We start from the raw sequence: 16,346 nt of genomic DNA on the forward strand, positions 1-16,346 counted from the left end.
ATTGGTCTCATTTGCATATTCATCATGCTCCTATTTCCAAAGATATTTTGTTATAAACTAGCTTTCCCCCCACCTCCAGTGTTATAATAACACATAGATGTGTTTTTAAATTGAACTCATTTCCATACATAATTTTTCTGGTTACCATAAATCACCACATTGTCACCTACTCCCCCCACCCTATTCAATGTAATCTTCACACTTTATACCAAGCTGACATATGGCTCCGAAGTAATTAAAGACAATGTAAACAGTTTACAGTGCACTTTGCAAAGCCACTTCATGTTGCAGAGAGTTTAATGATTTCTTTTTTCCCCCCACAAAGTCTCAAAGCAATGAAGAATAGGGAGGTTTGAGATAGTGATGCAGATAAAAGCTAAGGCATGAACAGTGGCCATTTCATTTCTAATGCACAAACTTCTATTCCTGGTTCTTAAAAAAAAGAAAAAAAACAGTCCTTTCCCTGTTGACTTCTGATAGAAGTAGAGGAGGCTGGGTTAAACTGGGATAATAAATGAGGAAGAATCATCAGCAAGGGTTGGGGAATTTTTCCCAATCATTTTAACAAGAGGATGGGAGTAAGAAATAAACTCATCAAATGCCCATGTTGTTTCAGATACTGAGATTGAGTATTAAGGGCCTTGACAACTCTATGACATAGACCTTAGTATTAACATTTTCCAGATTAGGGAGATTAGTATTAGAGAAGTTGAAACACTTGTACAACATAGAGACAGATCTAAAGAGAGAAGAAAATAAAGATGTGTGAACTCAGCATCTCCCCAGATTAGTCTAGTTCCATGTAAGTGAGGTACATTCTGCAATATCTTTTTTCTATTGCTTACCCATTGTGTTACCTTGGACAGAGAATTTGATCTGTTTAAGCCTGTTTTCTTATCTATAACATAGCACTAATGATGTTACCTATCTCCTGTGCAACTGGGGGGATGAAAAAGGGTTGAATGTAGCTCTGTGGGTGGACCCCAGGAGGTATGCCCCCAGGCCAACCTACTAGCTGTGTGCCCATGTCTTGGCCTAAGAAATAGCCCACAGGTTGCTGCTGGCAGACATGCCTCCAAGCTGGCTAAGCAACCTTGCACCCACATCCTGAATCTAAGAAACAGCCCCAGAATCCACCCAAAGAAGACACACGAACCCACATCAGCCAGTAGGCCATCCAACCATGTCCAAGGCCTGCAAAACATCCCTGTGGGCCACCCCAAGCAGACATACCCCCAGGCCAGCCAAGTAGCTATGTGCCTACATCTGGGCCTGAGAGATAGCCCCAGGTAGACATGCTTTCAAGCCAGTGGAGCAACCATGCACCCATGCCTCTGATCAAAGTAATAGCCACATGGCCCCAACCCCAGTGAGCCAGACCCTGAGTTGGCCAACGCACTGTGTGCACACATGTACCTGTGACCTGACAGACAGTCTAGCAAGCCCACCCCTAGTAAAGCCACAGCACAACAACTGCAGACTCTCTCAGCTTAGGCTGCTGAGACACTCGCAAACATTACTAGCATGGATTACAGAAAAAGAAATGACACAGATACTACACTATTGTATCCACCTAGAACAAAAGTCAAAGCACCTCACCAAAACAACACCCCAAGACTCATCCAAATGAATGTCTTTTCTTATAAAACCTACTTCATAAAATTGGAACAGGTGACTGTTTGACCAGATGCATAAAAATCAATGTAGGGATACATCAAAGATGAAAAAGCAAGGAAACATGACACCTTAAAGGAACACAGTGACTCTCCAGTCACAGACCCTAATTATAAAGAAATATATAAAATGCCAGAAAAAGAATTGAAAATAATAATTAAGGAAACTCAGTGAGATACAAGAGAATACAGATAGACAATTTAATCAAATCAGGAAAACAACTCATAACTTGAGTGAGAAAAGTGGCAAAGAGATATCACAAAAAAAGAGCCAAACAGAAATCTTACAGCTTAAAAAATCAATTAATAAAATATAAAAGGAACCAGCTGAGAGCTTCAACAACAGATTGACCAAGCAGAAGAAAAAATACCTGAACTTGAAGACAGGTCTTTTGAAAGAACACAGGCACAATAAATAAATAATAAAAAATAATGAAGAAAGTCTACAAAATTTATGAGGCATAGTTAACCAAATAAATATTCATATTATAGGAATTTCAGAAGGAGAAGAGAAAGGAAAAGGCATAGAAAGCATATTTAATAAAATAATAGCTGAAAATTTCCCAAGTATTGGGAGAGAGATGAACATCCAGATCCAGGAAGCTCAAAAAAAAAAAAAAAAAAAAAAAAAAAAAAAACCCAAATAGGGTCAATCCCAAAAGTTCTTTCCAAGGCACATTACAGTCAAATAGTCAAAAGTCAAAGAAAAAGGCAAACTTCTAAAAACAGGAAGAGAAAAGCCTCAAGTCACATATTAAAAAATCCACATTGGATGAAGAGTAGATTTCTTAGCACAAACATTACAGGCCAGGGGAGAATAGGATGATATATTCAAAGTACTAAAAGAAAAAGCTGCGAGACAAGAATACTATACCCAGCAAAGCTACATTTCAGAAATGAAGGAGAAATATAACATTTCATGGACAAGAAAAAAATAAGGGAATTGATCACAACTAGACCTGCCAAACAAGAAATGCTTAAAGGAGTATTACATCTGGAAGTAAAAAGACTGAAACCAACATCATGACAACATGCAAAACTCTAAAACTCACTGTTAGACTTGATACACAAAGGACAAAGAGAAAGGAATCAAGCCTATCACTACAGAAAACCACCTAATTGCAATAATTAAAAATAAGAGAGGAAGTAAGAAACAAAGGATATACAAAACAAGCAGATAACAATTAATTGCAAGAGTAAGTCCTCACCTATTAATAATAATCTTGAATGTAAATAGATTAAATTTCCCATTTAAAACATATAGACTGGTGAAATAGATTTTTTTAAAAGACCCAAATATATGCTGCCTACAAGAAACTTACTTTACCTGTAAAGACACATAGACTGAAATTGAAAGGATTGAAAAAAGATAATCCTTATAAACAAAACCCTAAAGTGAGCAGGAATAGCTATACTTACATCAGAAAAACAGACTTAAGTTAAAAGATGTAAAAAGAGACACAAATTAACATTATAAAATAATAAAGGGATCAATTCAGCAAGAAATCATTACAATTGGAATATATATATATATATATATATATATATATATATATATATATCCAACACCAGAGCACACAGATATAAAAAGCAAATATTATTAGACCTAAAGGGAGAGATAGACCGCAATACATTAGTAGTTGGAGACTTCAACACCCTACTCTCAGCATTAGACAGATTGTTTAGAGTGAAAATCAACAAAGAAACATTGGATTTAAACTGCACCACAGACCAAACAGACACTTACAGAACATTTCATCCACCAGCTGCAGGATACAAATTCTCATCATCAGCAAATGAAATACTTTTCAGAATTGGCCATATTGTTTCTGTTAGGACAATAAACAAGTCTCAAAAAAATTTTAAAAATATCAAAATTATGTCAAGTACCCTATAATACCATAATGGAATAAACCTAGAAATCAATAACAAGAGAAACATTTGAAAGCATACACTACATGGAAATTAAACAGCACATTTCTGAATAATCAATGGGTAAAGAGGAAATTAAGAATAAAATTTAAATCTTTCTTAAATGAAAATGAAAACACAAAATACCAAAACCTATGGGATGAGCAAAAGCAGAATTAAGAGGCAAGTTTATATCAGTAAACCCCTATATGAAAAAACAAGAAAGATTTCCCAGCCTCAAATAAACCAATTAACACTGCAACTCAAGGAACTAAAAAAGGAAGAACAAACCAAACCAAAAATTAGTAGAAGACAAAAATAATAAATATCAGAGCAGAAATAAATGAAATTAACACTAAAATAATAACACAAGAGATCAATGAAATAAAAAGTTGCTTTTCTGAAATGATAAGCCAAATGAACAAACCATTAGCTAGACTAAGAAAAAATGGGAGAATAACCAAATAAATAAAATCAGAAATGAAAAACATACACAATGACAGTAGCAGTAGTAGTAACATTACAATGTTTACTAAAAAAATACAAAGGATCATTAAAGATTGCTATGAACAAGTATACACCAATAAATTTGAAAACCTGGATAAAGTCCTAGACAAATACAACCCACCAAGATTGAACCAAGAATAAATAGAAAATCTGAATAGACCAATAATAAGTGACAAGTTTGAACAGGTAATTGAAAATCTCCCAACAAAGAAAAGCCCAGGACCAGATGGCTTCACTGCTGAATTCTACAGAACCTTTGAAAAATAATTAATACCAATTCTTCTCAAATGATTCTGAAAATTGAAGCAGAAGGAACTCTTTCTAACTCATTCTCATAGGCCAGCATTGCTCAGATACCAGACAAGGACATAGCAAAAAAAAGAAAACGTAGGCCAATATCCCTGATGAAGATAGTTGCAGAATCCATAATAAAATACTAGCAATCCAAAACCAATAAGACATCAAAGAAATAATATATGAGAATTAAGTGGGATTTATCTGAGAAATGCAAGAATGTTTTAACATATGCAAATTAGTAAACATGATACATTAAAGCAACAGAATGAAGGACAAAATTCATATGACCATGTCAATATAGAAAAAGCATTTGGTAAAATTCAACATGCTTTCATGATAAAAACTCTCAATAAATTAGGTATAGAAGGAAAGTACCGCAACTCAATAAAGGCCATATATGACATACCTTCAGCTAATATCATGTGGATTGAGGAAAAGCTGAAAGCTTTTTCTCTAACAACTGGAATGTTACAATAATTCCCACCATCACCACTCTTATGTAACATAGTATTGAAAGTTCAAACAAGAGCAATTGGGCAAGAGGAAGAAATGAAGGGCATCCAAATTTGAAAAGAGGAAGTCAAATTGTCCCTGTTTTTAAATGACATATTATACATGGAAAAACTGGCCAGGTGCAGTGGCTCATGCCTGTAATCCCAGCACATTGGGAGGCTGAGGCAGGTGGATCACGAGGTCAGGAGATTGAGAACATCCTGGCCAACATGGTGAAACCCTGTCTCTACTAAAATACAAAAAATTAGCCAGGCATGGTGGTGCATGCCTGTAGTCCCAGCTACTTGGGAGGCTGAGGCAGGGGAATCGCTGGAACCGGGAGGCAGAGGTTGCAGTGAGCAGAGATCGAGCCACTGCACTCCAGCTTGGTGACAGAGCAAGACTCTGTTTCAACACCCTCCTCCCCACCTAAAAAAAACCTTTAAGAACTGTTAAACAAATTCAGTAAAGTTGAAAGATACAAAATCAACCAACAAAAATCAGTAGCATTTCTATCCACTAGCAATAAACTACCTGAAAAAAAAATAAAGAAGCCCATTCCATTTACAAAAACTACAAAACAAAACAAAACCCTATGAATAAATTTAACTCAAGTGGAAAAAGGCCTCTACAGGGAAAACCACAAAACACTAATGAGGTAAATTGAAAAGGATACAAACCAATGGAAAAACATCCCAAGCTCATGGATGTGAATAATCAGTATTGTTAAAATGACCTTACTAACTAAAGCAATCTAAAGATTCAATGCAATTACTATCAAAATACCAATGCAGTTCTAGGCACAGTGGCCCACACTTGTAACTCCAGCACTTTGGGTGATTGGGGCAGAATGATCCCTTGAGTCCAGGAGTTCAAGAGCAGCCTGGGCAACATAATCCCCATCTATGCAAGAAAATAAAAAAATAGCTGAGTATGGTGGCACATGCCTGTAGTACTAGCTACTTGGGAGGCTAAGGTAGGAAGATTACTTGAGCCCAGGAGTTTGAGGCTGCAGTGAGCCATAACTGAGCCATGATCACACTCCTGCCTGACTAAGACCTTGTCTCTAAAAATTAAAAAAATAATAATAAAATAAAACAGCCAACAACAATGCCGTCATTCACAGAAGTAGAAAAAAAAATTTAAATTTGTACGGAACCACAAAACATCCTGCATGGCCAAAGTAAGCCTAATCAAAAAAGAACAAAGTTGGCAGCATCAAACTACCAGACTTCAAAATATAATACAAAGTTATAGTAACCAAAACAGCATGGTACTGGGGGAAAAAAAAAACAGACAAATAGACCAATGGAACAGAATAGAGAATCCGTAAATTAATGCACGTATCTATAGCCAACTGATTTTTGACAAAGGTGCCAAGAACATTCACTGGAGAAAGGACGGTTTCATAAATGATGCTGGGAAAACTGGATATCCACATGTAGAAGACTGATACTATTAGGCTGGTGCAAAGGTAACTGTGATTTTTGCTATTAGAAAGTAATGGCAAAAACTGCAATTACTTTTATATCAACCTAACAGATGCCCCCTTTCACCTCTCATTCTATACAAAAATCAACTCAACATGGATCAAATTCCTAAATATACGTCCAAAAATGATAAAACTGCAAGAAGAAAACATGGAGGAAGTGCTTGAGGACTTTGGTTTCGGAAAAGATTTCATGAATAAGACATCAAAAGCACAGGAAACAAAATCAAAAATAAAGGGGATTATATCAAACCAAAAAGCTGCAGAGCCAATGAAACAATCAATATAGTGAAAAGACAACCACAGAATGGGAGAATATGTTTGCCAAGTACTCATTTGACAGGGCATTAATATCCAGAATATATAAGAAACTCAAACAAAAAAATACCAAAAAAATTTGATTAAAATATAAGCAAGTGATCTGAACAGATATTTCTGAAAAGAAGACATATAAATGGCCAACACATATATGGAAAAATGCTCCACATCACTAATCATCAGAGAAATGCAAATCAAACCATAATGAGGTATCATCTCACACCATTTGGGATGGTTATTAAACGAAAAAAATACCGGTGAGGATGCAGAGAAAAAGGTACCCTTACATATTGTTCGTGGGACTATAAACAGTAAAGCCACTATGGAAAACAGTATAAAAAGGTTATTCAAAACACTGCAAATACAACTACCATATGATCCCATTAGGTATTAGCAAAAGGAAAAAAAAACAAAAACAAAAACTCAGTATCCTGGGAAAACATTACCTTGACCACTCAGAGAAGTCATGCCTCTCCAGTGCCTAAGTTGAAACTGTGCCCTGCATCCCAGGAAATGATGCCTTGACCAGCCAGGGTGGTCACACACCCCAGTACCTAAGCTGATGTGACACTCTGCATTCCAGGGAAATGGGGCTTGGGCTGCCTAGAACAGTCACATCCCACAGGCCTGAGCTGAAGTGGCACATTGCCCCTGGGAAGTCAATGCCCTGGCCAAGCTGAACAGCTGCATATTCCAAGGCTGAGCTGTTATAGTATCCTGCCGCCCAGGCAAGAGAGAAGTGGCTGAACTGAAATACTCCACCCTATATGCCAAATACCTCTAGTACCTTGCTTCCCTGGAGCCGGACTAGTTCCCTATTCTGGGCTTCTGAGATACCTCTCTCCCTGGGGAGTGCAGTCATCCATGTACCCACTCCCCCCCGGCCCAAACTAGAGCTGTGCTTTGCCATTCTGGGATACTTGCTGTTGCTACACATGGCTGTAAAGAGTCTAGAATGCTGCTAAGCCCCACCATTCCAGGGTCTATGGTCACTACTGCAAAGTGCCTCATCTCCTGGGAGATGCCACTGGGTATATTTGGCTCAGGTTCTCAAATTGCATCCATACCTTTCTCCCCCTGCCCATACCTCCAGATTACCCCTTCTTCTGAGGGATCAAGGTAGTACTGTACCTTGCTCCTCAGGGGCATAATCACCACTACAACGTGGCACCTTGAACCCAAGCTGCTAGGGGGTGCCTCAGAGTCACAAATCTTGGCTTCATGGGAAACCTACATCTAATCCTGCCAAGGAGAGCAAACTTGCACCTCAAGACCCAGGTGCCATAACAGGTATGCAAGACCATAAGCCTGGGACCCTGCCCCCATAGCTGCTGTGAGCATCTAAGTATATGCTGCTGATATGAAGCACACCTCTCACCTGTAAAGACAAATATAAACTGAAAGTGAAGGGATGGATAAAAGTGATTCTGAGCAAAAGGAAATCAAAACTGACCAGGAGTAGCTATCATGATTACATCAGATAAAGGAAACTATGGGTCAAAAACTGTAAAAAGAGACAAAAAGGGACATTATATAATGATAAAGGGATCAATTCAGGAAGAGGATATGATTCTAAATATATATATATTTAGATATATAAAAATAAATACATATATACATATAAATATACATATTTAGATATATATCTATATATCTAAATGTATATATATTTAGATATATAAAAATACATATATCTATAATATATATAACTATATATAACTATATATTTATAACTATATATAACTATATATTTATATTTATATATATTATATATAACTATATATAAAAATATATAGCTATTTATATATAACTATTTATATATAACTATATATAACTCTATATATTCATATATAACTATATAGTTATATATAGTCATATATAACTATATATGTTTATATAAATATAAATATAAATATAATATATTTATATATATATATTTATCTCCAAACCTGGAGCACTCAGATGCATAAAGCAAATGTTATTAATCCTAAAGGAAGAGATAGCCTCTAATACAGTAATAGTTGGGGACTTCAATGCCCCACTGTCAGCACTGGAGAGATCATCTGGACAGAAAATCAACATTATGAACATTAAATTTAAATTGCAATTCAGACCAAATGGACTTAGCAGACATTTACAGAACGTTTCATCCAACAGCTGCAGAATATACATCTTCAGCAACCCTGAGCAAAAAGAATAAAGCTGAAGGCATCACAGTACAGGACTTAAAAATATACTACAAAGCTATAGTAATCCAAACAACGTGCTATGGTCATAAAAACCAAACCATATGCAGGTGGCACAGAAAAGAAATAAACCTACATATTTATAGTGAAGTGATTTTCAACAAAGACATTGAGAACGTTCATTGGGGAAAGGAAAATCTCTTCAATGAGTTGTGCTGGGACAACTGGATATTCACATGCAGAAAAGGAAACTGGATATCTATATTTCACCATATACAAAAGTCAACTCAAAATGGATTAAAGACTAAAATGTAAGATCTGAAACTATATAAAACTTCTGGAAGAAAACATTGGGAAATTCTTCAGAAAATTGATCTGTGTGAAGATTTTTATGGAGAAGACCTCAAAAGCACAGGAAATAAAAGGAAAAACAGACAAATGGCATTATGTTAAATTAAAAAGCATCTGTAGAGCAAAGGAAACAACCGAGTGAAGAGCCAACCTTCAGAATGGGAGAAAATATTTGGAAACTACTCATCAAAGGATTAGTATCCAGAATATACAAGGAATTCAAACAACTCAACAGCAAAATTAATAATCAAATTTAAAAATGATCATATGGGTCAAATAGACATCTCTCAAAAGAAGACATACAAATGGTCAATAGGCATATGAAAAAACTGTTCAACATCACTAATTATCAGAAAAATGCAAATCAAACCATGATAAGGTCTCATCTTACCCCAGTGAAAATGGATATTATAAAAAAAACAACAGAAACCCACCCAAAACCAAAAACATAAACAAATACTGGCAAGGATGTAGAGATAGGGGAACTCCTCTACACTGTTGGTGGGAATAGAAGTTAGTACAGCCATTATTTAAAATAGTATGAGTATGAGATTCCTCTAAAAACTAAATGTAGAGCTTCCATATGATCCAGCAATTTTACTAATGGGTATGTATTCAAATGCAAGGAGAGGCCCTAAATGCCCAGGAGGTGGTACCAAGAGCTTTCAAAGGGAGGGAGGATTAATTTAAGTGTGGGAGGATTTGCTCTGTCTTCTGCCACTGTACCCTGGCTTGAGAAAATCATATTTTGGAAAAACCCTAAATTAAACCAGCTTAATATGAACTGAGTGTTTGCAGTAACAAAGGATTCTTCTCTTTTCAAAGGAAATCTTCATCAGTGCTGTAAATATGTCAAAGACCTATTTGCACTCTGATGTTTATTGTAGCACTATAAATAGCCAAGGTATAGAACCAACTTACACGTTCACAAATAAAGAAATGAATAAAGAAAATGCTATATATATATATATATGTATGTGACACACACTCACAATGGAATACTATTTAGTGATGAAAGGGAGCAAAATTCTATCATTCACAGCAACATAGATAATCTTGGAGGATATTATGTTAAGTGAAATAAGTTAGGCACAGAAAGGGAAATACTGCATGTTCTCACTCATATGTGGAAGCTAAAAAAGTCTGACTTCAAAGAAGCAGAGAGTAGAATAGTGGTTATTGGAGGCAGGGAAGTCTATGTGGGAGAGAGGATACCAAAAGATTGGTTAATAGATATAAAAGTACAGCAAAATAGGAGGAATAAGTTCTACTGTTCTATAGCACTGTAGGGCAACTATAATTAACAACAATTTGCTGTGTATTTTCAAATATGTAGAAGAGCAGATTTTGAATGTTTCCAAAACAAAGAAATGATAAATATATGAGGTGTGAGATATGTTAATTACCCTGATTTGATCATTACCCAATGTATATATGTATCAAAATAGTACACTATACTCAATTATTTTACAGTTATTATGTGTTACAATTATTATAAATATGCACAATTATGTGTCAATTAAAAAATAATAAAAAAGAAAAAACTGTGGAACAAGAACAAAAAAAGTGGTAAGGCATGAAGAGTTTGTGTGTGTGTGTGTGTGTGTGTGTTTGCACATGCATGGTGGGGCAAATATGGAAGATGACATAATCAGTTATGAATTTAGAAAATATTACTCTATGTTGAAAATGGATGAGGGAGAGGGAAGAGCATGCTGGTAAATGGGGACAGCACAAGTTGAAGGCTGTTGCAGTTACACAAGTGCTCTGGTTTAAATATTTTTTCCTCCCCAAATTTCCTGTTAAAACTCAATCTCCACTCCAACATTGGGAAATGTGGCCTTTTGAGAGTGGTTTAGGGCCCACACCACAAGGGCCCATCCCCATGAAGAGATTAGTGTTGCCATTAAAAAGGGCTTTTGGGAGTGGGTTCTCTCTCTTCTCCTCTTCTGCCACGTAGGGACATGTTTGTCCCCTTTTGCCCTTCCACCTTCCACCATGTGAGGACTCAGCTAGAAAGCCCTCACCAGATGCTGGAGACTTGATTTTGGAGTTTCAAGTCTCCATAACTGTAAGAAAATAAATTTCTGTTCCTTGTAAATTATCTAGTCTGCAGTATTTTGTTATAGCAGCACAAACGGACTAAGATACCAGGGAAAGATTGTGGTAGCTGGAGAAAGAGATGGGTGGATAGGTTAGACGTGTAACGAGGTAAAAACAACAGGACTTGGTGTTGTACTTCAGTACGACGTTTCTACATTGTGATCTTGGCTTTAATGAATAACCAAGGGATCTGAGAAACTGTAAATTCTGAGTACAGTCTGATAAATGTGCTGTTAATATTATGAATACAGGGTTATGGTTTGGAAGAACTTGGAAAGTTCTGGAAAAGTTCTGTAGAAAAGTAAGCATTTCATCTGGTCCCTGAATGGGAAGCAGGATTTTATGAAGTGAAATTTTAGACAGAGGGACAGCATCTACATAAGAACAGTGTGAAAGTATATTTTGTTCATTTGTTTATTTGTTGATTCATTCCCCTGCAATTATTTTTGATCCCTTTATGTGCCAGACATTGTCCAAAGAACAAGCTGTCACATTCTAAATATGCAATATGATGTCTGGTAATAATAGTGCTTGGGGAATAGAAAATTATTCCACCTGGTGAGAGTGTAAGGTACACAGTGCATATGGTGGGAAATAAAGGGTTTTGATTTCTGTGCCAGGAGCTTATGACTTAAGTCTGCAGCGAGGAAGATCCCTAGAAGTTCTTCTGCAAGAGAATTTAAACAGTGCAAGTCTGGCAGCAGAGTGGCAGGAAGATTGGAGCTGGGATAGGCATGGAAGCTTCATACAGTAGGTTATGTAAGTGATGATGAGACTTTGGGTCTAATAGTAACAGGAATGAGAAGAGGACTGGATATCAGAGTACATCTGAGAGGCAGTCAGTAGGACTGGAGGAGCACCTTGGCATAAGGGATAGAGAATGCACCTGAGTCAAGGGAGACTGGATTTTCCTTGTTTGGGAACCTGGGCAGATGGTGACATGATTCACTGGGCAATATGGGAATACGAGAAATTTAAAAATAAAGATAAGCTAGTTCTGAATATGTTGAATTCCAGGTATTTGCAGTTCACTCAGATGTAGATGTTTAGGCATCTTTCCAATTCAAAACAAGAATTATGGCCTCAGGAGAGAGGTGGAGGTTGCAGATGAAAGTTTAGGAACCCTGGTAATAAGACATTATCTGACAACTGGTCATTCAAGGGTGGAGCTAGAAGAAAAGAAAATGGCCAAAAAATAGAACCCTAGAATACCTAAATTTTTGAAGGGCAGTTGAAGAACAAGAGAGATGAAGAGAACTGGATATGGAGCAATCTGGGAGGTTAATAGGGAGGCAGGAGAGTGTGGTATCCCAGAAGTTAAGTGGGGAAAGGGCATTGAGAAGAATGACATTAATGGTTAATGAAATTTAAAGACTACATATAAGGTAAGTAGAAGAGGATAAAGTAGAATTCACTGGATCTTGTAACTGTGGTATTTTTGAGATCTTTGATAGAATAATTTAATAGTGTTGAAGAATTTTTGTCCAAATAGCAAGTGGGCAGGCTAAGAAGCGATTGAAAAGAAAGGATAGAGAGGCAGTGAATGTAGGCAACTCTTTCAACACAGTGGTCTTGATGGGGAAGAGAGAAGAAGGGAGCAGAATAGGAAGGTGGAATTTATACAGAATACTTTTCTTTTATTCTTTCCAACATGGATAGGTGAAAGTTGGTCACATGTGCAGAATGAATGAAAAGGACTTTGTGATTTGTGGAGGGGGAGATACTGAAGAAAAGGCCAATATTTATTAAGTTCAGGAAACTGATTAACAACTGGAAGAACACAAGTGAAGGAGATAGGTCTGGAAAGGAGATGAGAATTTCTTGGTGACCAAGAGTGTAAGGTAAGACAATGGACAAAGGTGAGCACGGAGACTGAGGAATACGCAAGTCTCCTCAGGTTCAGTTCAGTGCTGGGCCCTCTGCTAGAAAATGCTTTGAAGCCTTATGGTATAAAAAGGGTAAAAAAACAAGATCAATTTTATTTTGGTGTATCGCTGTGCCAGTTCAGGATGATTAATGAAGACATGAGGTAAAAATGTACAAGCTGTGTCTGAACAAGTTGAGTTACTGAGCCAGCTGCTGTGGTTCTTGGATTGTTGATATGTCAGCTCAGCTCAACCATTCGTATTGCCACAGGAAGGTTTGCCTGATACTGAATACCCAATGAGGGGTCATTCACACTTGCTGGATTAAACTTGATTAAAGTAGCTTATTTGTGACATCTGAAATGCCTGTCTTTAGAATTCTATGTAATTATAGTGATGTTTAGGGACACAGGGATATCCAGTAGTCATTTAGTCTATGTTAGCTCCAGGCAAGGGAATCGCGAATACATCTTGAGCATAAAGCTCTCCCACTCTACTGTCTCCCTGGTTTCCTTTGTGAACTCTGTTCAGCTTTAGTATCCCCATCTTCTAATCCCTGTGATAGTTGAATGTCCTCAATGAGGTAAACCCGGAAGATTACAGGTCTTAAATCGGGCTCTCCTGCAACATGGAGATAGAAATTGGAAATCACGTAAGCCCCTTTTTAAAACTCCTCTCTTAATACACAGATGAGGAAACCAGGGCCCTGAAAGATAAAATGCTTTAATCGAGGTTATGCAGTAATTTTATATTAAAACTAGCACTGAAACCAGGATTCTGACCACCCTCTTTTAAGCAGGTGGCTTAATTGCTGGAACATAATGACATCTTCTATACTTTGTGATTCTTTTGTTATTGGATTCCTTTCTTGCTTCTTCAGACTTCAGGAAGTACTATTCTTAAAGGGATATAAAAGAACCAAAAAGATAAAGTTAATGACTTCAAGAAAGAAACACATGAACTAAAGGTTTTCTTTCTTGCCTTGCTTTCATTCCCTTCTGTATATACTCTGTCTATTCATTGCTATACTTACTGGCATTAAAGTCCTGAATCCTGGCTGTCTCACTGCAGAGAAGAACATATTTCCCTGGCCCTGAATGCCCAGGAGGTGATACCAAGAGCTTTCAAAGGGAGGGAGGATTACTTTAAGTATAGGAGGATTTGCTCTTTTACTATTGCACCCCACTTTGAGAAAACCATGTCTTGGGAAAACTCTAAATTAGACTAGCGCAATGTGAACTGAATGTTTGCAGTAACAAAAGAGGCTTCTCTTTTCAAAGGAAATCTTAATCAGTGCTGTAAACTTTCCTAGTACTTTGAAATGCTTATATATCAATTACTACTTGCCTGCATGAATACTTTGGAAACAAGAAGTCTAGAGAATCTCTACAGCATAGATGTTAAGTCCTGCTGTCAATTAAAAATTAATCATAAATGGTAGAAAGTATCTCTGAAAGAGAGTGGATGTCTGCAGAAAAGAAGAGGCTTTGGTTTATGAAAATTCCATTCACCGGTACTCTGGGAGCAACCCCTTATTTGAGAAATGATGAAAATTGCTTGGATTGCTCTTTTGCTCATTTCAATGGCCTCAGTGAAAGACTCCACACTATCATTTAGGAACCATGGTAACACAGTAAAATGTGAGGAGATGCAGAAAGTTTGGCTGACCATGTCAGTTCGGCTACTAAGTGCAGATAGTCATACTAGATGTGGTCTGAGGTTGCTCCCTATAGCCCCCTTGAGGCATTCACTCACAGCAGTGCTAGGTACATACATTTTCTCCAGGTCCCCAAATCCTGAAAATGCACCTTTTTGGATGACTCGAAGCTTGGTGAGGACAAACCTCCTGCAAAGAGAGTAGAAATAAAATATCACAACCTATCCATTAATAAGTAATTGAGTTGCTAATGTATTCATATCAGCAAACAGTTACCATATACTAAGTGCTTGCCATAAAGTAATGTTGAAATTGCTTTTACATTCTCTCTTTTCATCCTGTCTACAACTAGTGATACTGAAACTATTAGTCTTTCCATTTTGCATAAGGAAACTAGAGTTTAGGGAGAACAAAAAATTTACCCAGGGTCACATGGCTGATACATGACAGAGATGGAATATGAACCTTGCTTGTTCCCACTACCGTATGTTGCCTTCTGCAGCCCTGTGTGAGGCCTGTTCTCTTCCTCTACTCCAACCCCCATTACCTCTTCCTTTATTGTCATTCTCAGCTGACCTTGCCTTCTATTCCAAGATGAAAATGAAACCAATAGAAGAAAATGTCCTTATACCCTCTCAGGGCTCACTGCCTGATCAACCTGCCTGTACCTGTGCTTTATACACATTGCCTTCTCTCCTGGTACTGTGAGTGAACTCTCCAGGGTCCTAAGAATAGCTTCTCCAATATACACTAGGTCTGTTTCCCTCTCTGCTAGTCCCAGTAACCACTATGACAGTTTTCCACTTTCTTAGACACATTTCATTCACCTTTTTCCCCTTCTTTCCTGGATTCTGCTTACTGATATAAAAGCATGCCATAATGTCTCTCATCTCATCTAAAAAAAGTCTTCTCTTAACCTCAGCTGACTTCAGCTTTTGCCGTTTTCTTCTGCTCGAAATAATTGTCTCACGCTTGCCTCAAAATTCCTTCCAATGGCTCCTCATCTCACTAGGGGAAAAATCAAAGTTGTTTACAAAGGCCTTCAGTGCCCTACAAGAGCTTTCTCTTCTTTATTTCCATAGACCCTGTATTCTCAGTTTTGACAACTACCCTTTGATCATCCTGGTCTTGCCGTGGTATCCTCTAAAAATTCCTCGGACAAGCCAGGTTCCTTCTGGCTTAATGTTTCCACATTTGCGGTTCTCTCTGTTTGGAACATTTCTCTCTCAGATATCCTCATGGCTTGTTATCTCAGACCCCCATTTGCTCAAATGTTACCATTTCAGTGAAGCTTTCGCTAACCATCTATTTAAAATGATAATCTCCCAAACTTGGCCCAGACCCTCTTTCCTGCTGCTTTAATTTTTCTTCATAGCAATTCTGACATGTTATATCTTCATTTATCTATTTGTGTATCCATTTGTTTGTTTCTTCCTCCTAACTAGAATTCAAGTTCCATGAGGGCAAAAATGTTTGCCTGATTTGTTATGATTGTAT

The 16,346-nt window shown here is 37.2% G+C and overlaps 1 protein-coding gene and 1 non-coding gene across 5 annotated transcripts in view, besides 1 other annotated feature; one reads left to right on the forward strand and one right to left on the reverse strand.

The window, feature by feature from the left end:
* FSHR (follicle stimulating hormone receptor) overlaps positions 1–16,346 on the reverse strand; it is a 192,359-nt gene that overhangs the window by 91,096 nt on the left and 84,917 nt on the right. For all 4 annotated transcript variants that reach the window (NM_181446.3, NM_000145.4, XM_011532733.3 and 1 more), the window contains exon 2: positions 14,967–15,038. In NM_181446.3, coding sequence (NP_852111.2) covers positions 14,967–15,038 — 72 coding nt within the window. The remainder of the gene's footprint in view (positions 1–14,966; positions 15,039–16,346) is intronic.
* On the forward strand, positions 6,351–6,406 carry MIR548BA (microRNA 548ba). Its single transcript, NR_107011.1, has one exon. It is a non-coding gene; the product is annotated as a microRNA 548ba (primary transcript).
* Positions 9,595–10,110: an enhancer, noted in NCBI's record as "NANOG hESC enhancer chr2:49289986-49290501 (GRCh37/hg19 assembly coordinates)". NCBI's record gives its function as "activates a minimal SCP1, AML or CMV promoter by ChIP-STARR-seq in naive H9 embryonic stem cells {active_cell/tissue: H9 hESC(naive)}" and the evidence as "EXISTENCE:reporter gene assay evidence [ECO:0000049][PMID:30033119]".

This window comes from Homo sapiens, chromosome 2 (assembly GCF_000001405.40).
Source record: "Homo sapiens chromosome 2, GRCh38.p14 Primary Assembly".
NCBI classification, from domain to species: domain Eukaryota; kingdom Metazoa; phylum Chordata; class Mammalia; order Primates; family Hominidae; genus Homo; species Homo sapiens.